At 37.3% G+C, this 25,725-nt stretch overlaps 1 long non-coding RNA gene across 1 annotated transcript in view; it reads right to left on the reverse strand.

Moving 5' to 3' along the window:
- Positions 1-25,725, reverse strand: part of LOC107986606 (uncharacterized) — a 179,493-nt gene that overhangs the window by 27,351 nt on the left and 126,417 nt on the right. Inside the window, exon 2 of the long non-coding RNA XR_001744176.3 lies at positions 5,915-5,988. This is a non-coding gene — a long non-coding RNA (uncharacterized LOC107986606). The remainder of the gene's footprint in view (positions 1-5,914; positions 5,989-25,725) is intronic.

Below are 25,725 nucleotides of genomic sequence, written 5' to 3' on the forward strand. Positions count from 1 at the left end.
GCCCCTAAACCCTCACATATATAGCCTCTCCCATTATGAACATTCCCCACTAGAGTGGCATATTTGTTACCATTGTGAACCTACATGGCACAGTATTATCATCCAAAGTTCATAGTTTACATCAGGGTTTATCCTTAGTGTTATTCATTCTATGGGTTTGGACCATGTAAAATGACATGTATCCACTACTATGATTATCATACCAAATATTTTCACTGCTCTAAAATGCTCTGTGTACCACCTCGCTCTTTCTCACCCTCAGCCACTACTTTCTCAGTAGTTCTGCCTTTTCCAGAATGTCATATGATTTAAATCATACAGATGTAGCCTTTTCATATTGACTTCTTTTCACTCAGTAATAACATTTAAGTTTTCTCCGTATCTTCTCATGGCTTGATAACTGATTTGCTTTTAGCTCTGATTAATATTCCATTGTCTATATTTACCGCATTTTATTTACACATTCACCCACTGAAGGACATCTTTGTTGCTTCCAAATTTTGGCAATATGAAGAAAGCTGCTATAAACATCCATGTGCATATTACTGTGTGGACATAAATTTTCAACCCCTTTGAGTAAATACTAAGGATCATGATTGCCAGATCATATAATAAGAATATATTTAGTTTTGTAAGAAACTGCCAAACTGTGTACTAAAGTGGCTGCATCATTTTTGCATTTCCACCAGGAATAAATGAGAGTTCTTATTGCTCCACATCTTCATCAGCATTTGGTGGTGTCAGTGTTCTGGATTTAGCCATCTTAATCGGTGTGTAGTGGCTTCTTATTGTTGTTTCAATTTCCATTTCCCTGGTGACATAAGATGCAAAATATTTATTCATGTGCTTATTTACCATCTATGTGCTTCTTTGGTAAGGTGTCTGTTACCCTTACCAAAGGTATTTGGCCCATTTTTTATTCAAGTTTTTTGTTTTCTTATTTCTGAATTTTAAGTGTTCTTGATATATTTTGGATAACAGTTCATATCAGTTATAATTTTTGTAAATATTTTCTCCCAGTCTTTGGTTTGTCTTTTTATTCTCTGGACAGTGTATTTCACAGAGCAGAAATTTTTAATTTTAATGAAGTACAGATTATCAATTCTTCTTTTCATAGATCATGCCTTTGGTTTTATATCTCAAAAGTCATTGTCAAACCCAACGTCACCTATATATTCTCCTATGCTATCTTCTAGGAGGCTTATAAGTTTGTGTTTTATGTTTAGGTCTGTAATCCATTTTGAGTTAATTTTTGTGAAGAGCATAAAAACATAGATTTATGTTTTTGCATGTCGATGCCCAGTTGTTCCAGCACCATTGTTAAAAAAATCTATCCTTATTCTATTGTATTATTCCCTTTGCTCCTTTATTGGAGATTGATTAGCTATGTTTAGTGGCTTTCTATTCCATTGATCTCTGTCTATTTTCTTCACGTATACCACGCTGTGTTGATTACTGCAGCTTTTTAGAAAGACTTGAAGTTGAGTAGTGTCAGTCCTCCAGCTTTGGTCTTCTCTTCTCTTTCAATATTGTGTTGGCTAATCTGGGTTTTCTACCTCTCCATATAAACTTTAGGATTAGATTTTTTATATCTACAAAAGTATTTGCTAAAGTTTTGATTGGAATTTCACTGAATCTACCATTCAGATCAAGTTGGAAAGAACTGAAATCTTGAAAGTATTGAATCTTCATATCCATGATTGTGGAATATTTCTTCATTTATTTAGTTTTTTTTTTATTTCTTTTAACAGAGTTTTGTAGTTTTCCTTATATAAATCTTGTACATATTTTGTTAGATTTATACCTAAGTATCTCATTTTTGTGGATGCTAATGTAAATAGTATTGTATTTTTAATTTCAAATTCCACTTGTTCAGGATAGACTGGATTAAGAAAATGTGGCACATATACACCATGGAATACTATGCAGCCATAAAAAATGATGAGTTCATGTCCTTTGCAGGGACATGGATGAAGCTGGAAACGATCAGTCTCAGCAAACTATCACAAGGACAAAAAACCAAACACAGCATGTTCTCACTCATAGGTGGGAATTGAACAATGAGAACACATGGACACAGGAGGGGGAACATCACACTCTGGGGACTGTTGTGGGGTGGCGGGAGGGGGAGGGATAGCATTAGGAGATATACCTAATGTTAAATAACGAGTTAATGGGTGCAGCACACCAACATGGCACATGTATACATATGTAACTAACTTGCATGTTGTGTACATGTACCCTAAAACTTAAAGTATAATAAAAAAAATTCCACTTGTTCATTACTGATATATAGAAAAGAGGTTGACTTTTGTATATTAGCCTTGTATCTATCCTGCATCCTTGCTATAATCATTTATTAGTTCCAGTAAGTTTTTTGTTGTTGTTGTTGATTCTTTTGAATTTCTACATAGACAATCATCAAATAGGTTTTAAAAAAATTGGGCCAGGTGCAGTGGCTTACACCTGTATAGGAATATTTAAAACAATAGGTTAGGCTGGGCACGGTGGCTCATGACTGTAATCCCAGCACTTTGGGAGGCCAAGGCAGGTGGATCACCTGAGGTCAGGAGTTCAAGACTAGCCTGGTCAACATGGTGAAACCCCGTCTCTACTAAAAATACAAAAAATTAGCTGGGCATGGTGGCAGGCACCTGTAATCCCAGCTACTGGGGAGGCTGAGGCAGAAGAATCGCTTGAACCTGGGAAGCAGAGGTTGCAATGAACCGAGATCATGCCATTGCACCTCCAGCCTGGGTGACAAGAGCAAAACTCCATCTCAAAAAAAAAATAAAAAAATTATTTTTTAACCTCCAGTTCTCAGTGGGAGATTTTCTCTGATATGAACCAATGACCAGAGCTGGGAATAGAAAGCCATTTTCAAGATATATTTGCCTAATTAATTTGTAGCATGAATTAAAGAAGATAATGGACATAAAATTCTCAGTGTAAACTTGGCTATGATACTCACTAAATAGCTGGTATCTTTTTCAAAATTATTCTTTCAGAACTTTGATTAAGATGAAAAGGAGAATAGCTGCATACCAGGGAAGGGGATTCAGTGGAGAGTTTTTAAGAGTCAAGGATACATGAATAATTGTATGTCCTCAAGATAAAATAACTTTATAGAAGGACAAAATGAAGTTACAAAGAGATATGTAGGAAATGTATGAAAGTTCTGAATCACAGAGATGAAATTTTAAAAATATATGTAACACCAGTTATATCTTAGAGTTCTGTCAATGGAAACTCAGACTGCCCATAAATAACTTTTATATCTGGAGAAAACTGGCTGATTATTATCTCTGAAGGGGTCAGGAAGAGTTATAATCTTGAGTAAAAATGAAGAAGTGTAGTTTTAGAAAGAACTGTGCATACTTCTTATACTGAAATAGGTAGGAGAAGTGCTTAACCTAAATAAATAAATAATAAATAGCTGAATTCCAGTTAATTTCTTGGACAATAACTTGATTGAACAAACAGTATAATCTTTACTCATTTACTTGCCAAAAAAAGGGACACAAGGAAATAGAGTAGTGTTTAGAAGCTTAACCTTTAGAAATACCAAGACCTGAGATTGAAACACAGGCAAATTTCTTACTTTTTCTATATCTCATTTTTTTCATTATTAGGGAGGAAAAAAAGTAGTATTCTTTACAAAAAAGAGTAGTATTCTTTACAGTGTACATTCTAGAATTGCTCTGAGAATTTCTCTGTGCCCTAGGATTTAATTTCCTGAACTATCCTACTTCAGTTTCTTTTTCTAATTCATTCCACAGCTTGTCCTCTCTCATTGAAATTATACTCTCATATCCCTTAGGTCTTTTCTGGTTTTCTCACTGTTTCAGGGCTAGAGTGTTCATGGAATCCACTGGGAAATATCCATTCTTGTCATGTCTCCTCAAACTTGATTCCAAGGACACTTCTATCTTTGAGTTTCTTTTGTGGGTGTTCTCACCCCAACCCAGTTTGGCCTGAGTATCTGTGTGGGTCACATATAACCAATATTCCTTTATTTATCTATCTTTGTCAGTTTTATCTTTTAAAATGTTTTGTCTATATCATATTTCTAGACTAATAATTCATGTATTAATAAAAGACAACTAATTAATAATCAGTATTTGTAATTACCATGAGACAAATAGCATAAAAGCATTCAAGTGGTGTAATCCTAATCAAAAGAAAGGAAACAAGGTGCTTGGTTTAAACTAGTAAGGCTCATAATATGGGTAGATAACTTAAGTTTGGAGCTTAAGTTTGGAGCTCTCCGTGGTAAAATACAGTCTTTATACTTGGAATTATTGGAATAGATGACCATAAAAAAAACTCTCACAAGTCTAAAAAGTGGGTATTTAATACTTATGATAACAATACCAAAAGAAAAAAAAATACAGATAGCACTACGATTTTATTGTTTGATCCTTGCCTTTCAGAAAGGCTTATAATATACTTGAAGTGACTAGATCTACAGAAAGATACATATTACATTGCTATAAAAACTTTTATGTCAAAAAGAGTATAAGACAAGTGTATTTAGAAAAACTATCCAGCAGGGGATCATGTAGCAGGTGAAGTGAGTATTGAAAGTGAGCTGAAATTAGGATAAGCAAAAACAGAGGGAAAATACAGTTATTTAAGGAGAAAAAGTGATGCCAGAAATAAATGAGCAAAACAAGGATTAGGATCTGACTAGGGGTCATTTTAAGACTGAGTTGTGCAAATATATTTGACCAGTGGATTTGCTACATAGAAATCACTCATTTAGTATTTGCCAAATGAACATGGAATGAATAAAATGCATTTCATTAGACTATCTGTTACTCCTCCTTACTGAAAGTTATTTATTAATTTTTTTATTGTTGTTATTGTTGGTTGCTCCCCTTCAAGTACTTGACTTCATGACTCACTGGCTTCTTTTCAATCCTTTTCTCATCTCTTTTTTTCTATTAAATCACTAGGTGAGCTCCTGCAGACTCCTGGCTTTAGATACCATCTTTATGCTGATGACTTCCAAATATTATTTCCAATCTGACCTCTTTGTCTCTCTCTGTCTGTGTGTGTGTGTGTGTGTGTGTGTGTGTTTACTACCTCCTTAGCATCTCCACTTGGATATCTGATATAGACTTTAAATTTGACATGTTCAAAAGAGAACTCTTGATTTTCATTTATCATTCCCACAAAAATTTTTTTCTCCCCCAGTCTTCTCCATTAGTAGAGAGTACTGCCATTCATCCAGCTGACAAATCCAAAAACCAAGGGGTTGTATTCAATACCTAATTCCCTTAAACTCCACAATCAATTTATTAGTGAATTCTGTTGACTCAATTTTCAACATGTATATAGAATCTGATAGTTTCTCATCATTTCCAACACTATTTTTCTATCTTCTCTAGACTAGAAGATTGCAGTAAACTTCCTAAATACTCTCTCTGTTTCTATTCGTATATGCTTCAGTCTCTATTTCTTATTTTACACATTATAGCCACAGTGATCCTTTTGCAATTAGAAGCAGATCAGTTCACTTCTGTAGCTCAAAACTTTTAATGGTTTTCCGTCTACTTAGGATAAAACTCAAACTCATTTTCTTGGCCTTAACCAAACAAAAGCCTGGCATGATCTGGCTCCTCTCCACCTTACAACTTTCCCCTTGCTTACTCAGTTCAGGTTCACTGGCCCTATCATGTTTTACTAACATACCACAAGTTGTTTACACACCTCTCATCTGCATCTTTAAATAGCATGCTCCTTTCACATGCTGGTCAAATCACTCCCTATTCAGGTATCCCTTTCCAAAGCAAATGATCTGAAACAGGACCCCTTATTGCTATGCATGTTCTCTACCTTCTTGCTGTGTTTATTTTTTGAACTATTATATAAACTTGTATTATCCCTTTTTATTTCATTTACTTATTACCTGTGTATCAAACCCTCATGGAGACTCTATCAAGGTCGGTGCTTCTGCTTTGCTCTCAACTGTGTTCCCAGCGTCTAGAACAGAACAATGTAAGTGCTTAGTAGATACATGTTCAATACATGAATAAGACTAAATATTGCTTATTTTCTTGTATATTATCTCCTTTGGTAAGTTGGGTAAGAGAGCTTTATCTGTAAAGCAATAAAGTAGGGTTAGTATAATCATTGAAATTGTATGCCCTAGAGTCCAACTGCTTGGATTTAAACAAATCCAAGCTCCTTCAGATGTGATCTTACATTATCTTGAATACTTGCTTAAGTTGCCTATGCCTTAGTTTTATTTCAATGTAAAAAAAAAGGACTAATAATGATGCCTGTATACAGAGTTGTAAGAATTAAATGAGGAACACATCCAAAGCATTTAGAACAGTGTCTGACATGCAGAAGCATTAAGTAGATGCTAGGTTTTATTTCCCCTTAATTTGTTTTATTCTAATTTGACATCCTCAAAGGTATGGTTACAGATATTCAGTATTTTTTTTTCAGATAGGGGACTCACTCTGTTGTCCAGACTGGAGTACAGTGGCACCACCACAGCTCACTGCAGCCTCAACATCCCCGGGCTCAAGCGATCCAACTGCCTCATCCTCCCAAGTAGCTGGGACTACAGACACACAACAGTACACCTGATTAATTTTTATTTTTAGTTTTTGTAGAGATGGGGTCTTCCTACATTGCCCAGACTGTTCTTGAACTCCTGGGCTCAAGCAATCCTTGCATCTCGGCTTCCCAAAGTGCTGGGATAACAGGTGTGAGCCACCATGCCTGGCCCATCATGCATATTAAAATCCCTCATTGAAAGGGAAGAGCACGTTTTTTTCTCTTTTTCCCTGACTTTTTCTCTGGCTGGGCCACTACTAAGCAATTATCACTGAAGTTATAACTCCTGCTCTTCCTATGAGGACATTCAGTGGATCCCTTGATTTGATACTTTATCCTTTTATTCACTTGGTTATGATATAAGTACATTAGAAGAATCTGGCTTCCTTTTTGCTAAATCCTGTTCTTCAGTTCATCTTATTATTTGGCCTTCATGAAGGTAATTTAATTCATAAGACAATTTGACAGGGCCAATACACATTCTTTTATCACATCCAACAGATTCAGATAATTGAATGCATTAAGCAAGGCTTTATCCTTAGAGTCAAGATTAATCCAATCCTCATACAGAAACTTTGTGATAGCAAAAACTTGCAAATCAGGTTAATTAAATTAGTAAAGTTTTAGAACCACAGCACTTTCTGTAGCATGTCAATCTACTAAAAATATTAAAAATTACTGGTTAACGGCTGGGCACGGTGGCTCACGCCTGTAATCCCAGCACTTTGGGAGGCCTAGGCGGGCAGATCACGAGGTCAGGAGATGGAGACCATCCTGGCTAATACCATGAAACCCCGTCTCTACTAAAACTACAAAAAAATTAGCCGGGCGTGGTGGTGGGCTCCTGTAGTCCCAGCTGCTCGGGAGGCTGAGGCAGGAGAATGGCGTGAACCTGGGAGGCAGAGCTTGCCGTGAGCCGAGATTGCACCACTGCACTCCAGCCTGGGTGACAGATTGAGACTCCATCTCAAAAAAAAAAAAAAAAAAAAAAAATTACTGGTTAACACATAGGACAATTTGAATAATTCATTAAGCATTGTGAAGGAAATGAAGATAAATAGGTTTATGAAATTTTTCTTCAAATACTTAACCTCTAGAAGGGAAAATATATAACTACATTTACAATAAAAGATAGAAAAAAATAGATACTTAAAGGAAATGTCTACAAAGTACTATAGGAGGTGAGCTGAAGCAACAATTATTTCTGAATGATTGCATTATGGGAAATTTCATTGATAGGTAATGTTTAAGGAGGTCCTTGAAGGAAAAATTATTTTGAGACATGAGAACATGATCTGGGAGAAGGAATAACATTCCAATATGGAGGAGCATCATAAGCAAACCCATCAAGGCTGAAAATTTTGGTACATATGTGAGGCAAAGGAAGAAGTTATTTGGACTGTAGCCTTTAAATGGATTCCTAAATAAATTTGGAAAAGTATGTTGGTATATATTATAGCATATTAGGAGGAAAGTTTTGGTTTCATAGTCAAAAGAAAATGACTGCAGTTGAGGAAAATTGGTCAAGAATAATACGTAAGGTGCTTGTATGTGGGAAAGACAGGAGGCAGAGTGACCAGAGAAGGGAGTATTCCTATCCCTAAGACAAAAGAGTTTGAACTAGGATTTAAGCAGTGACGATAGAAAACAAAGGAAATAGAAGTAAAATCAGTGAGTCTTAGAAACTGCTAACTTCTGTAGGGTGGGCTAAAGGAAAAGATGCAGTGATCCTGAGGGCTTAAGGCTGGGAAATGGAGTGTTGGCAAGGACACTTAAAGAGCGGCCATTTGGACAGGCGAGTGAAGAGTTGTTTTTTTACAGCCTGGGTTTGGGCATCAAGCATTCATCTAGACATACTTAATTGGTAGTAAGCTTCTGAGTCTGGTAACATAAAGCAATGGTTAAAGCTGAAGGGTCTTGAAGTCTGTAGGCAGTAAGAGCTGAATTAAGGATGAAAGTGATTCTCAAGGGAATGTGGAGAAGAAAAGCTAGAGACAATCCACAAGAAGCAACCACATATATGAAGCAATGGAGGAAGAGAAGACAAAGAAAGTAGTCAGATTATTTAGAGACAGAGAATACAGCCATTAGTTTTGTAAGTAACAATCGTCTGATTTCCACCTATGAGACATGTAGGAATCCTGTACCAATGGGGATTGGTGTGTGGAGCCAGAATGAACAATTCAAAACAAATCCTAGAAGGCCAATCTAGTTAGTCTTCTATCCAATCTGATGGGGTGAAACAGAAAATTATAATAGAAGGTAAGAGAAAATTGAAACCAATGACATCCAGTGAATACAGGAGGGCTCAGAGCCAGGTGATTAGTCTAGAAGCAGAGGTTTGTTTTAAAGGGAGTTTTACCATGAGCTTGGGCAAGAGGAAAATCCCTAAGTACATAGTCCTGATCTGGATGGTGGTGAATAATCTGATTATAGATAGAGAATACCACCATTTTAATCACATTTTTTTCCACTTGTGACCTCAGCTTCAGCCCAGGGTTTGTCTAAGGCCAAGTACATGGCTGGGAAATCAGGAGATGTGATGAGGTGGTCCAATAAAAAAACATTTGAATGAGGGTTCAAACACTTTCTGAAGAACATCCCAAACTGCATTAACTGCAGGAGTTCATATGGAAACAAGTATGCTTGGAAAATTATTGGCCCGAGGGAAGACTTTCTGCAAGACTGAGGAGCCTTCTGGGGAAGAACTCACCCCAAGTGAAGAAGCAGCCTATAAATAGATGCTATACACTTTAGTGGTTGAAGGCAAGTCGTGATTCAAAGCACAAAATCATAAATAAAAGAGTGATTTTACAAAAATCTCTTAAAATAGTCAAGCTCAATAAATACTTTAAAGGACTATGCCCAAAGTGAAGGAAGGAATTGCCTTCCACCTCTTAGATACATAAAGTGGGCAGCATGACAGCTCTAGCACATCAGAGCTGGTGCTCTGTAGGGGTGATACTGGGTCAGAGGAGAGGTTGTGGAGCACTGTGGGCCAGTGGCAGTAATTGCAGTTCCTATAGGAGCAGCAAGGGTTCAATGGAAGTGGGTTTATTTGTGAATACATGTGCAACACTTGTACAATATTCAATACTAAAAGCTGCCCTCCCCCAATCCCAAATTCTAATGTGTATATGTGTATGTGCATGCTCACACACATGTGATCTCATGGGTTTATTACATAATCATTTCAAAAATAGATACAGATGCAGCTTCATGTAGTAGAATCGATACATCAGTGAAATTTGAATTATTTCCATTAATGTGCCGGGTTTGCCACACAGATTGGTAAATTACATGTACAATTAAATAAATGTTCTCAGATTTTCCAACAACTCCTGATACACAGTGGAACTAGGTTATAAATGATGATAACTGCCTTTTAAAAAATATATGAACTATAGCTGCAGCTGCTGTAAGGATTCTGGAGGGGTTTGCAACTACCCACTCATTTCCTAAACTAACTATTTGGCTAAAGTTTCAAATTCAGAGAGTTTGCTCTAGCTGTCATCTTGAGTTTGTCTCTGATATTGCATTATCTTTAGTTCAATGAAACCTCTAAATCACAATCCTTTTTGCTTAGATCAAATTGGACTTCCAGGAATTATGTGTAAAACAGACATAGCATATAAGCATTATATAACTATAAATTATGATTCAATGCATGTATTTATTACATACACAATTCAATACATGGCACACAAATAAAAATAATTTGAGAACCTCCTGATATCTTCAGGCCACTGGCAGTCCTACTCCTAAAAATAAAAATAGATTATTTTTAGGGAAAGAGGTTAGAACAGCTACAGGAAGTAATTTATGAAGAAAATAGTTTAAAGTGGAGTGGACTACCTCCAGAAGGCAATTAAGCATTTGTTCAGTGACTTTTGAAGTGACCTGCTTGTTTTGCCCTTTTTCAGATGAGAAGAGAACAGCAATCACACTATCCACTACATCCTTTGTAAACTTTTCTGTGGTTGGCTTTGTAAAAGTTATCTGGCCTGTGTAAAGAATCAGGAGGCCAGGCATGGTGGCACACCTGAAGTCCCAGCTACTTGGGGGTGCTGAGGTGAGAGGATCACTTGAGCCCAGGAGTTCAAGACCAGTCTGGGTAATATAGCAAGACCCTCGACAATATAACCAAGAGGACATAAAACTAAGAAAGTATGAATCTAAGTTAATGTGTCCCTATGTGTATCCCTGAGAACACTAGTGTCAGATGCTAATTTGGATATTCTTGCAAATCGGTTTCATGGTCAAATATATGTGAGAAATAAAGTGAGTCATATTTATTTACTGAAGCTTTTTTTCAGAGTCTTTCATATGCTAATTGTTAATAGACTTTAAGGGTACAATATGGAGAGTTCCAAAGCTTTGGCAATTTCAATCTTTGTTTTATAAATTGTAAATTAACAAAATATAGTTGTATATGTTTATGGGGTACAAAGTGATATTATGTTTATGAATGCAATATGGAATAATTAAATCAAGCTAATTAACGTATTTGTTACCTTAATTTTTTTTTTTCGTGAGAAAAAGTACTCTCTCAGCAGCTGGAATGTGCAATCTAACATATACACCATGGAATACTATGCAGTCATAAAAAAATGAGTTCATGTCCTTTGCAGGGACATGGATGAAGGTCAAAGCCATCATTCTCAGCAAACTAATGCAGGAACAGAAAACCAAACACTGCATGTTCTCACTCATAAGTGAGAGTTGAACAATGAGAACACTTAGACACAGGGAGGGGAACATCACATACCGAAGCCTGTCGGGAAGAGGTGGGAGGCAACAGGAGGGAGAGCATTAGGACAAATACCTAAAGTATGAGAGGCTTAAAACCTAGATGATGGCTTGATAGGTGCAGCAAACCACCATGGCACATACATACTTATGTAACAAACCTGCACATTCTGCAAATGTGTCCCAAAACTTAAAGAAAAAAAAAGAAATATACCTTTGTAAAACAAAAAATGTGCAATCCACTATGATTTACTACATTCACCCCCACTGCATAATATGTCTCAAAGAAAAATTTTATTCTTTCTGTCTAATTGAAGTTGTGTATCCTTTGGCTATAATTTCCCCATTCCCACCACTCCTCCCACTCCCCCATTGCCCGCCTCTGGTAACCACCTTTCTGCTTTCTGCTTACTCTAAGTGCTACTGCTTTAGATACCACATATAAGTGAGAACATATTTGTCTTTCTGTTCCTGGTTTTTTTCACTTAGCATAATGTTCTCCAATTTTATCCATGTTCTTGCAAAGGACAGAATTTATTTCTTTTTAAGATTGAATGGTATTCCACTTTGTATATATGGTACTTTTTTATATTTATCTGCTGATGGACATTTAGGTTGATTCCATATCTTGACAGTTGTGATTAATGCTACAGTGAACATGAGAGTACAAACATCTCTTTGACACTCTGATCTCAAATCTTTTGGGTTAAGACCCAGAAATGGGGTTGCTAGATCATATAGTATATCTATTTTTAGTTTTTTGAAAAACCTTCATACAGTTTCCTATAATGGCTATACTAATTTACATTCCCACCAGCAGTGTGCAAAAGCTCCCTTTCTCCACATTCTTGCCAACACTTTGCCTTTTGTCTTTTTAACAATAGCCATTCTGACAGGTATGAGATGATATATCATTGTGGTTTTAATTCTCATTTTTCTAATCATTAGTGACTTTGAGCATTTTTTCATATATTTGTTAGCCATTTGCATATCTTCTTTTGAGTAAGATCTATTCTGGTCCTTTACCCATTTTTAAATCAGGTTATTTGTTTTCTTCCTCTGAAGAGTTCAGTTCCAATGAGAACACATGGACATAGGGAGGGGAACAACACACACTGGGGCCTGTTGTGGGGGATGTGGGGAGGGAGAGCATAAAGATAAATACCTAATGCATGTGGGTCTTAATACCTAGGTGATGGGTTGATAGGTGCAGCAAACCACCATGGCACACGTTTACCTATGTAACAAACTTGCACGGTCCTGCACGTGTATCCCAGAACTTAACATAAAATTAAATTAAAATTTTTTATAGAAGAGTTGAATTCCTTATATGTTTTGGATACTAACCCCTTATCAGATAAATATAGCTTACAAATATTTTCTCACAAATATATCTGTTCACTCTGTTGAGTGTTTCCTTTGTTGTGCAGAAGTTTTTTATCTTGATATAATCTTGTCTATTTTTACTATTGTTGCCTGCACTTTTGCTATCAAATTCCAAAAAATAATTTCCCAGACCAATACGTAGTTTTTCCCCTATGTTTTCTTCCAGTAGTTTTACAGTTTCTGATCTTACATTTAAGTTTTAAATCCATTTTGAGTTGATTATTGTACACGATGTGAGGTAAAGGTCCAATTTTATTCTTCTGCATATGGATATCCAGTTTTTCCAGCATGATTTATTGAACGGACTGGCCTTTTCTCATTGTGTATTCTTGGTACCCTTGTCAAAAATCAGCTAGCCATACACGTGTGTACATGCACCTACATGACCATACATGCCTGACAGTGCTGGTTTAATTACTATATCTTTGTAGCATATTTTGAAGTCATGTAATATGATGTCTCCAACTTTGTTCTTTTTGCTCATGGTTGCCTTGGCAATTTGCTTCTTTTGCGGTTCCATATAAATACTAGGATTGTTTTTCTATTTCTCTGAAAAATGACATTGAAATTCTAATAGGAATTACAATGAATCTGTAGATTATTTTGTGTTGTATTGGCATTTTAGCAAAATTAATTTTTTCTAATTCATGAACATGAGCTATCTGTCCATTTATTAGTGTCGTCTTCAATGTCTTTCATTAAACACATTATAGCTTTTAGTGTACAGGTCTTTCACCTCCTTGGTTTATAGAACATTTCAAGGAACTAGTTTTCCACAGAATAGTTTGAGAAATGTTCCTCTAATTAGATGTAAATTACCTTGCAGAGAAGGCTGCCTGCTGTTCTTTAATTCCACCCCCCAAAAATCTTTAATCAGAGTGCAAGAGTGGAGAATGGTAGGAAGATAGAAAATTTTACAAAGTAAAATGGGTAACATTGAAATTTAACTAAAAGAGAGCACTAAAATTCAGGAATGTTCAGAGATGAAGAAATTTACTATAAATAGATGCCATATACACAGTAGGTATGCAATAATACTTGTTGATAGAATATATAAAATTGTACAATGCTCAAATATTGTTTATAGGATCTTATTCATTGGAACTTGTAAATATTATTTCTGTTGTCTATTTATAGAAAAAGTAGAATTAAATATCCAATTTACAGATTGTAAAATTAAGACTGATAAAAAGCTGTGTAGATCATGAATCAAAATGAATTATGAATGAACACAGTGGCAGATAATGTTATTGAGTATTCTTGAAAATGGGTTTTATGGTAAACAGAGACAGAATAAAAAAGAGTTTTCTCCTTCTGATAACTTTATTTTATAGGGCTTTCCAATCTCTTCATATTGGTTGTTCACATTCTCCTCTGAGAGATAGCTTCATTATTTTCCAATGAACTAGCTTATATAAATTGGATGTTTTTGTTACCTGCAACCAGAATATCTTTAATTAAGACAGAGCTGTGATGGATAAACATGTCACCTCCTTTTCTTATTAAGAAAGGTCTCTTAAGGACACAGCTGAATGACTATAGTTGTTGCTTTCCAGGCACTGTAGCAGACTGGCAGGAGGGCATCTTGAGGCTTTTCGAATTTCACTGTGTAGGCAGCTGTCTTTTCCGTTTCCACCTAAGTCTGCTGAGGATTATAAAGAATCAGATCCAGGCAGTCCTCAAGCTGCATAAAGGGCATATAGGGTAAACATGACCAAATATGCCCTTCCAGAACTCAGATTACATATGTGAGCCTATAACATCCATATTTTTTATGGTCCTTCTGTCTTCCTCTGCACAGCTTACAGAGCCCCTGAAATTGTGATCTCATCCCCAAAGCTAAGACAGTCTCCTGTGCTGAAGTGTATTTTAAAATATTTTAAGCATAACTACTAATTGTTGAGGAAATGGTTAGGCAAGAGATGCCATGGGCATCTCAGGAGACTCAGGATTCTAGAAAACAATGGATCCAAGGAAACCTCAGGCGTGGGCAGGAGACAGAGAGTAATCTGGATGTATACGTAAAGCGCCCACACTTCAGGACTTCCAGTTATTTTCTGTTGGGTACTTCCATGAGGATGGAGGTCATTCACTGGTGTCTATTGAGGCCAGGGCCCTAGATTTGCAGGCCACATCATGGACTTTTCTTCCTTCTGAAGTCCAGAATTGAATGCCCTAATCAATGATGCGTACTGCCTCCTGACATCTCTGTATTGTACTTTACTTCTGTATGTAGGCTTATTTAGCTTCCTGTACATAGGCTTATTCTCTCAGAATCAAATTATGAGAAGAAAATGTGTTCATCAAGTTTCTTTTAAGAGATAATCGGGTCAGAATTTTGTCCCAGGCTACTGATCAATTAGATATTAAATGTTTTAATATATTAAAATAATATAACACATAACTTACCTCATGCACATTTTAAGTGCTATCCTGTCTCCAAAATTATTGCTTCCCCTTTTTTCGCCCTCTCACACCCATGTTCTCCCCTTATTCAGCCTCAGATACCCCTGAGAAGCTCACCTGTTGCCAAAGGCCATTTGGTAAGAGAGATTAAAGAAAACATGGCCACACAGGGGGTCCCTGCGCCTCTCTTTCTCCCTTCATCTGTGGATTTGGGAAGTATTTTATGAACTCTTAATTTTATTTTTTTTCTTTTTAGTATTAGATACCTTGTTTGGTACTTTATTAATGTTAATCAGAGACTCTGACAGATTGTTATTAGATCCTCCTTGGTGCCAAGCACTGAGTTAGCACGTGAACAAATAACTGAACCCAGAAGTATTACAAAGGAACAGAGAGAAATATGTTACAAAGTAAAATTGAGCATCGTTATTAACATTGTCTCTTGCACAGAAATAATTTATACACTTTTTATTTCATTGACAGGGAAAACAAGAGAAGGGGAAGAGAGCAGAGTTTAAAAGCAATTTTATATCTTTAGACAAATGGTATCTTTTCTTTCAGAATCATCTGACCTCTGCCCTGTTTTCTCTGTCTCAACAATGAAATTGCTTTGCACTTCTCTTTAGCCAGATGCCACAGAAAGGAACTAATTCAATAGTCATTGCAAAGGGAAAGGATTTGCACTACTTAGCTTGACAGCCAGTTACATGTAAATAGGTCAGAAAACTTCAGCAAAACTTGAGCAAGCCCCAAACATCAATGGACATATCACTGTGCTGGGAGGAAATGAAGACTGTGGGGTGTTGGGAGGAGAGAGTTCCAGAAAGGGAATGTAGCCTGATAATTTAATTCAGAACTGCATTTTTCATGGCAGTTCATGAATGAAGCAAATGTAAGGCAGTGCTGGGCATGTCAGAAGGAGATAGCAGTAAGAAAGTATAAGAGAAGGAGCATTTATTGAATATCAAGGCTCTTCAAGAAAATCTTAACTGAAGTTTGTCACCTAAGCTGTGAAACTCTGATGAAGAAAACAGAATTTAAACCCTCTGAAATGGTAACTTTTTTTCCAATAGAATATTATGAATGTTGAAAGAGAAAGTAGCCAATGAAAATGTTTTAAATAAATGATGAATTTTCAGCATATGTGATAAAATGCTTTAGAATTTTTTTATTTTAGAATAGAGGGCTACTTATCAAAGCCTGCTTTTTATGGTCCAGCAAGTTCATTGCATCAAAATGGAGGAAAGTGATTTAATAATCCTAGATTTAATCATTTTGTTCCCTTTTAATTTGCTTTGACCCATTTTGGAATTCTTTGACTATTTTCATCAAACTCCTATTTTATGTTGTAATATAAGGAAGCTCTAAGCACGTAATCCTACTGGGTAGAAAAATAAGTGAGTGAAGAAGAAAAGACAGTAATAATTTCAAGAGAGAAAAAAATTGAAGGAGTAAACAGGTAGGAAATTGCTCCAAAGGCTGGTAACTTTATGTGATGTTCAAGCATTGTGTGAAGAGTTTGAGAACAATATTGAAGAATGCAACATGAGAAATACAGAAGTCAAGTTATCTGCCTCTGGCAGTGGGAGAGTTATAGAACCTTGGACTGAAAACATCTTTACAAAAATTACAATTGAGAAGATTATTACAGTGAAAGAGATCTGATCTAACCAACCCCCAACTTGCCTTTAACCTCCAGATTGCCTTTGGTCATTCCTGGGCTTGGGCCAAGCTAACGTGGGAGAAAATTTAGCCTATACTTTAAATGATAATAGCCCTTCCCCAAAACTAAACCACTTTTATAAAACTAATGAAAGGCCACCAGATTAGGAGGATGAGAGGAGCCTGAATTCTGCTAATATATAGCATAGATAAATGATTACCAGCCATTATTCTAGAGGTAACAAGATTTGGAACTTCCCTAATTCACTATTGTAGAACTTAAGATTGGCCTTTTGAGATGCCTTCTCAGGCTTTTGCATTTCTGACAATCAGATGGCCCTACCTGGACTCTCAACCAGTCCTGTGGCCCCCAGTTGGAAGCAAACTCACTGTATGAGGGCCATTTTCCCCACACCATGATGGCATCCCCTACCAATCAGCAGTACCCATTTCCCTGGCTTCTGCCCACCAAACTAGCCTCAAAAAACCCTGGCCTCCAAATTTTCAGGGAGATCAATTTGAGTAATAACTTTATATCTCCCACATCTCAATTAAACTCTTTCTTTATTATGATGCCATGGTCTCAGTAAATTGGTTTTGTCTGTGCAGTGGACAGGAAGAACTCATCAGTGATTACAGCACTTGTTAAAAATCAATTAGATCAGAGGCTATAGCTGGCTGTCTACAGATATGTTGAATTTAATCCTCAGATATCTTTGACGTTTTTCTGAATGTGAATGTCTCTAGACAGAATAGATGTGCTCCAATTCCAGCCCCACCAGCACTTACAATTCCATACCTAGCTGGCTGTTTCACTTACTTTTATAACCTGTTCTCTGAAGACATTTGAATTTGTGATTCTTGATCTATCCCAACCCTGTCATTTTTAAATTGAAATAAACAATGGCTAGTGAGAACAAGTGCTTCTCAAGATTGCCCAAATGGAAGCAACATGAGAAGTAGACAACTAGTGACCTAACTTTCTGTGTACTTGGGTGTGAGTATAACAGGTCCACAATCCTCCTTCAACAATTCTTTAAACTTTTTTTTTTCTTTTTTTTTTGTAACACACTTAGGATAGCAACAGGAAGCAGCCAAATGCCTAGGCAGATAGGGGTGGGTCCCCTGTGAAACACCACCTTCAAACCAAAAAAACAGCCTGAAGGCAGAAAGAATGGACTACTGGTCCCAGATGAAACCCACGACACAGAATGAGAACTTCTGTTCCTGTTTGCCTGCCCTTCTCCTATTCTGAGCCCATAAAAGCCCTGGACTCAGCCATATTATGGGGACTTTCCCACCTTTGGGTGGGGGACCACCCCCATGTCCCCTCTCTGCTGAAAGCTGTTTTATCACTCAATAAAACTCCTGCCTTGATCACTTTTTGATTGTCAGTGCATCCTCATTCTTCTTGGGTGTGGGACAAGAACTCAGGAACGGTGCATAGGCCAGACTTGGCCTGGGTGGGCTGATTGGGCAAGGCACCTCCTGCGGCCAGTAGCATACCCCAAGCAAGGCCAGAGGTCCCCAACTGGCAAAGGGACCGAGAAAAATCCTGCATCATTTAGACACAAACCTATCTTGAACAGATGCTGCCTATTAGTGAAAATACTCATATCTCACTGCAAAAATTTATATATAATGAATTTTGGGAGTAGGTATGCTTAAATATAATATTGATGGTGTTATACTTTTCTAAAATCTTTAAGTGATGTACTTTTGAAGTAATTCTAGCACCAAAGTTTAAAGTAGAAGGCTTGCACTAGACACACAACACAGAAAATTGAAAGCCAAAGGGATGAGTTAAAATTCATTTTTTCCCCAAAACTGTAAGGATAGATTCAGCAACTAATATATATCATATATTCTACTAGGCTCTAGACTGGGTGAAGAACTCATTTGTAAATTATTTTTGTTGGCTTAAGAAGTTACTTAAGTTCATGGTTTGAATACAGAGGTATAATGATTGACCAAACTTTTTACCTGTAGTTATTTAAAATATGAAATTTAAATTTTGAGTTACTTTTCCATCACCGTTAGATTTTTCTCAGAAAAATAAAAATTAGAAAAATTTCTGAGTACAATATGATATTAGATGGCATACGCAAGAGTGATTATTAGCTGTCAAGATCTCCCATAGACCTAAGATGATTTTCTGCCACAGGTGGAAGTTGTATAAATCATTACCAACATTTATATGTCACATAATAGTTAAACTTCTATTGCTTCTGTGAAGTATATTCAAAAAATGAAACAAGAAACAAGTACAAATAAAAAGCTCTGGAGATCTGGATGGAAAGAGGGCTTTTGTATATCTAGTGATAAGTGGGCTGGGCCATTTCCAGTTTGTGGAAAGAGTATTTTCTGGTAGCTTGGAAAGGCGAATATGATGTGTCACTAATCAGTGGCCTCTGCGATTGAGGATAACAGATGCCTGAAATAGAGGAACTGTGGTAACAGAGTAAGAGACAGAATGATACATGGAAAAATCTATTTCTCTCTTTTTCTTGATTACACAGAAGTAGTTCTTGATCATACAGCTCTTGAAACTTAAAAAAGGACATCATCAGAATAACCAAACGGGTGTTACTGATTTGGTCATTGATGGGCCAAGAAGTGAATGTGGGGATTCAATCCAAGGATGAGCAGTTTGTTTTTTTGTTTTGTTTTGTTTTTTTTGTTTTTTGTTATTTTTTTTTTTTTGAGACCGAGTCTCACCCTGTTGCCCAGGCTGGAGTGCAGTGGCGCGATCTCAGCTCACTGCAAGGTCCACTTCCCGGGTTCAGGCCATTCTCCTGCCTCAGCCTTACGAGTAGCCGGGACTACAGGCGTCCGCAGGATGAGCAGCTTTTTTTCATATATGGTTGAGAGTTTCAGAATCTTTTGACAGCTCCATGGAGAAAAAATCAGAAAAGAGGCCAGGCTCATGGCTGTAATCCCAGCACTTTGGGAGGCCTAGGTGGGCGGATCACCTGAGGTCAGGAGCTGAAGACCAGCCTGGCTAACCTGATGAAACCCCGTCTCTACTAAAAATACAAAACTTAGCTGGGCATGGTGGTGCATGCCTGTAGTCCCAGCTACTTGGGAGGCTGAAGCAGAAGAATAGCTTGACCCGGGAGGTGGAGGTTACAGTGAGCTGAGATTGTGCCTCTGCACTCCAGTCTGGGTGAGACTCTGTTTCAAAAAAAACAAAAAAAAAAAAACAAAAAAAAAACGGGCCAGGCACGGTGGCTCACGCCTGTAACCCCAGCACTTTGAGAGGTTGAGGAGGGTGAATCATGAAGTCAGGAGCTCAAAACAAGCCTGGCCAACAACGTGAAAACCCGTCTCTACTAAAAATGCAAAAATTGGCCGGGTGCAGTGGCTCACGCCTGTAATCCCAGCACTTTGGGAGGCCGAGGCGGGCGGATCACGAGATCAAGAGATCGAGACCATCCTCGCTAACACTGTGAAACCCCGTCTCCACTAAAAATACAAAAAAAAAAATTAGCCGGGCATGGTGGCAGGTGCCTGTAGTCCCATCTACTAGGGAGGGTGAGGCAGGAGAATGGCATGAACCCGGGAGGCGGAGCTTGCAGTGAGCCGAGATCACACCACTGTACTCCAGCCTGGGCGACAGAGCGACACTCCGTCTCAAAAAAAAAAAAAAAAATGCAAGAATTAGCCAGGTGTGGTGGTGGACGACTGTAATCCCAGCTACTCAGGAGGCTGAGGCAGGAGAATTGCTTGAACCTGGGCAGCAGAGGTTGCAGTGAGCTGAGATTGTGCCACTGTACTCCAACCTTGGCGACAAAGTGAGACTCCGTCTTAAAAAAAAAAAAAAAAAAAAAAAAAATTCAGAAAAGAAAGCAGAGCCACTAATTCAATCATTCAACACGTGTGTGTGTGTGTGTGCGTGTGTGTGTGTGCATGTGTGTGTGTGTGTGTGTGTCTGTGTGTGTGTGTGTACCAGGGGGTTACCTGCTATGTGCCAGGCCATCATGAAGTCTCATTTTCACAGTGATCCTAGTTGGCTACAGTTTTCAATTTCAGACAAGAGATATGTGGAAGCAAGAGAAATTATGGTGAATATCAAGTTATTAATCTTCTTTTATAGCAATTAATTACATATGGAATATGCATTTCCCAGAACCCAGAAGCAGGGCATTATATGCCATTTGTGAGAAATAGTTTAAAATTAAAAACTCAATAGAGCTGTTACCCTTAGTATGAAAACTTTACTAATAAAATTGATTTTTGAGATTCTTATGAAGAGATAATGGGTAGTTTTCCTTAAATAAGCAAATGAGTATAATTTTCCTTTCCAACTAATTTTTCAAGAAGTAGAACTTTAATGCATTTGTAGAAGACTTTAAAGTTATACTTTATAAGTTAAAAAAGAAAAAAAACTGATGCCATTAGGATGCTGATTATTTTATCAATAGTACTATAAATTCTGCCCTCCTGAGGAGAATTAAAATAGTCATTCCAGATTGCCCTTTTAGGAAATCATAATATATGTTCCCTATGGAGCTAGGGAAAGATGTCCAACCCCATGAAAATCCCCTAGAATTAAAAATATTTTTTCCTAGTGGCATATTGCTTTTAATATGTTATGGCCTTTGGAGTGGAGTAGCAGAAGTATCTTTCTTTCCTTCCTTGCTTTTTGTTATTGTTGTTTCTAGATAGTAATGAGTCTACTTAAATGAAACAAAGACATAAAATAGAAATCATTATTCACAGAAGCAACACTGTGTAAATTTAATGCATATCTTTTTTAAAAGGAATTTAATATGGACTCTAAAAAATTCCCTAGAGATAAACAGAACTCTGTCTTTTCCCCATTCTAGCTGTCAGAAAGAGCAGTAGGTGAAAGCAGACTGATTTCAGTTTAATTTGCTGTGTCCTCTGCAGGATAATGGTAGTCATTTGCAATTAGAAAGACCACTGATATTTTCTACTCTACTAACTCTAAAAGGTGAGCCTGGCTAGAATTAATATAATTTCATTGAGAGAAGCTTGTATCAAATTATTGACATAAATAGCAGATAGAGGTTACAAAGTTTCTAATTAGGACTAGAAAGGACTTGGCCAGGTGTGGTGGCCCATACCTATAATTCCAGCACTTTGGGAGGCCGAGGTGAGTAGATCACTTGAGGCCAGGTGTTCAAAACCAGCCTGGCCAACATGGGGAAACCCTGTCTCTACTAAAAATACAAAAATTAGCCAGGCTTGGTGGCGTGTGTCTCTAGTCCCAGCTACTCAAGGGGCTGAGGCATGAGAATCGCTTGAACCTGGGAGGCAGAGGTTGCAGTGAGCCAAGATCGCACCACAGAACTCCAGCCTGGGTGACAGGGTGAGACCCTGTCTCATAAGAAAAAAAAGAAAGAAAAAAAGAAAAGACTCTGTCATTTTACCCATGTAGAATTTCCTTCTGCTGTGTTTCTATCAGATAATGGTACAGATTCAATCAATTTATTCAATATATGAATGCACACTTTTTTGGGAGCGTGGGAACACTGTTGAGTGCTAGAAAGTTCTTCCTGTATTGAACTGAAATGTCATTTTTAATAACATGTTCCATTTCTGGTTTTGGAAGAAAGCAGAGCAAGTCACACTCTTCTGAGAATACTTGAAAATGGCAATCAAACAACGCTCAGTTCTTTCCTTCTTTATGCTAAACTGCCTTATTTGTTTACATTTTCCTTACAGTATCCGGGTCTCAAAGCCTCCTCACCTTCCTTGGTTTCCTTCTGGATTTACATTAATTAGTGTGTCATAATAATGGGAGACTTTAACACCCCACTGTCAACATAAGACAGATCAACGAGACAGAAAGTTTACAAGGATACACAGCAATTGAACTCAGCTCTGCACCAAGCAGACCTAATAGACATCTACAGAACTCTCCACCCCAAATCAACAGAATATACATTCTTTTCAGCACCACACCGCACCTACCCCAAAATTGACCACATAGTTGGAAGTAAAGCACTCCTCAGCAAATGTAAGAGAACAGAAATTATAACAAACTGTCTGTCAGACCACAGTGCAATCAAACTAGAACTCAGGATTAAGAAACTCACTCAAAACCGCTCAACTACATGGAAACTGAACAACCTGCTCCTGAATGACTACTGGGTAAATAATGAAATGAAGGCAGAAATAAAGATGTTCTTTGAAACCAACGAGAACAAAGACACAACATACCAGAATCTCTGGGACACATTCAAAGCAGTGTATAGAGGGAAATTTACAGCACTAAATGCCCACAAGAGAAAGCAGGAAAGATCCAAAATTGACACCCTAACATCACAATTAAAAGAACTAGAAAAGCAAGAGCAAACACATTTAAAAGCTAGCAGAAGGCAAGAAATAACTAAGATCAGAGCAGAACTGAAGGAAATAGAGACACAAAAAACCCTTCAAAAAATTAATGAATCCAGGAGCTGGTTTTTTGAAAAGATCAACAAAATTGATAGACCACTAGCAAGACTAATAAAGAAGAAAGGAGAGAAGAATCAAATAGACGCAATACAAAATGATAAAGGGGATATCACCACTGATCCCACAGAAATACAAACTACCATCAGAGAATACTATAAACACCTCTACGCAAATAAACTAGAAAATCTAGAAGAAATGGATAAATTCCTCGACACAAACATCCTCCCAAGACTAAACCAGGAAGATGTTGATTCTCTGAATAGACCAATAACAGGCTCTGAAATTGAGACAATAATCAATAGCTTACCAATCAAAAAAAGTCCAGGACCAGATGGATTCACAGCCGAATTCTACCAGAGGTACAAAGAGGAGCTGGTACCATTCCTTCTGAAACTATTCCAATCAATAGAAAAAGAGGGAATCCTGCCTAACTCATTTTATGAGGCCAGCATCATCCTCATACCAAAGCCTGGCAAAGACATAACCAAAAAAGAGAATTTTAGACCACTATCCTTGATGAATAATCGATGGAAAAATCCTCAATAAAATACTGGCAAACCGAATGCAGCAGCACATCAAAAAGCTTATCCATCATGATCAAGTGGGCTTCATCCCTGGGATGCAAGCTGGTTCAACATACACAAATCAATAAATGTAATCCAGCATATAAACAGAACCAAAGAAAAAAACCACATGATTATCTCAATAGATGCAGAAAAGGCCTCTGACAAAATTCAACAACGCTTCATGCTAAAAACTCTCAATAAATTAGGTATTGATGGGGCGTATCTCAAAATAATAAGAGCTATCTATGACAAACCCACAGCCAATATCATACTGAATGGGCAAAAACTGGAAGCATTCCCTTTGAAAACTGGCACAAGACAGGGATGCCCTCTCTCACCACTCCTATTCAACATAGTGTTGGAAGTTCTGGCCAGGGCAATCAGGCAGGAGAAGGAAATAAAGGGTATTCAATTAGGAAAAGAGGAAGTCAAATTGTCCCTGTTTGCAGATGACATGATTGTATATCTAGAAAACCCCATTGTCTCAGCCCAAAATCTCCTCAAGCTGATAAGCAACTTCAGCAAAATCTCAGAATACAAAATCAATGTACAAAATTACATTAATTAGTGTGTCAGGGCCTCATCTAAATCATTTAATGTTTCTCTTAAGTTGAAAATAATTTCAGTTCTGGCATGATAAGATCTTCTTGCATGTACATGTCTATGTGTGCAAAATATTTTAAGTGACTAAATCCTTTAGGAAACAAAGTTGAATATGACGAAATAGAGACATAGCACTGTGGTTTGAATGTATTTTCCTTCAAAAACTTATGTTGAAATTTTATTGCCATTGTTAGAGTATTAAGAGGTGGAATTTTAGAGAGGTAATTAGGCCATGAGGCCTCCACCCTCATGGGTAGGATTAATGACATTATAAAAAGGGAAGTTTGGCCCCATTTTGCCTCTTTGCCTATCTGCCTTCTGCCATGTGATGATGCAGCAAGAAGGCCCTGACCAGATGCTGATGCCTTGATTCTGGACTTCCCAGTCCCCAGAACTTTGAGAAAATAACTTTCAGTTCTTTACAAATTACCCAGTCTCATGTGTTCTGTTGTAAATGCACAACATGGACTAAGACATATAGACACACAGATAGGCAGATATAACACGCATTTTATTAGCATAAAATATTCTTTGGAAAAGCATTCGACTCCCCAGAAGGATAAAAGCTTGCATATAACTCTAATATGTTGCAACATATCCTGAGGAATAAATAGAAGTTCATTGCATTGGACCAGAGTTTAGAAAGCAAAAACATAGGCCAGGCGTGGTGGCTCATGCCTGTAATCCCAGCACTTTGGGAGGCTGAGGTGGATGGATCATGAGGTCAGGAGTTCAAGATCAGCCTGGCCAAGATGGTGAAATCCTGCCTCTACTAAAAATACAAAAAATTAGCCAGCCTGGTGTTGGGCGCCTGTAATCCCAGCTACTCGGGAGGCTGAGGCAGAGAATTGCTTGAACCAGGGAGGTGGAGGTTGCAGTGAGCTGAGATCGTGAAACTGCATTCCAGCCTGGGTGACAGAGCAAAACTCCATCTCAAAAAAGAAAGAAAGGAAGGAAGGAAGGAAGGAAGGAAAGAAAGAAAATAACATATATTCTTTAATTCTCAAATATTGTACATAGCTCCAAAATATTATTATACAAAATAAATTTTTAGACTATATCAAGGGCTCCATACTAATAATCAACAATAAGATCATCTGTGTTTGAATACCTTATCTTTTACAAGAAATTATTTCTATAATTCTTCTTTATTAAAATGATTAATCACAAGTACTAAGGTAGTTTGAATACCTTATCTTTTACAAGAAATTATTTATATAATTCTTTATTAAAATGATTAATCACAAGTACTAAGAATACACATAGAAAAATTGGTCATTCGCCTTTTATTATGCTGCCTCTGTTTTATGTCAGCCATGTACCCAGTTGTTGGCATTAACTGATGCAAGACAGT

The sequence above is a fragment of the Homo sapiens genome, chromosome 6 (genome assembly GCF_000001405.40).
Source record: "Homo sapiens chromosome 6, GRCh38.p14 Primary Assembly".
Classification (NCBI taxonomy): Eukaryota; Metazoa; Chordata; class Mammalia; order Primates; family Hominidae; genus Homo; species Homo sapiens.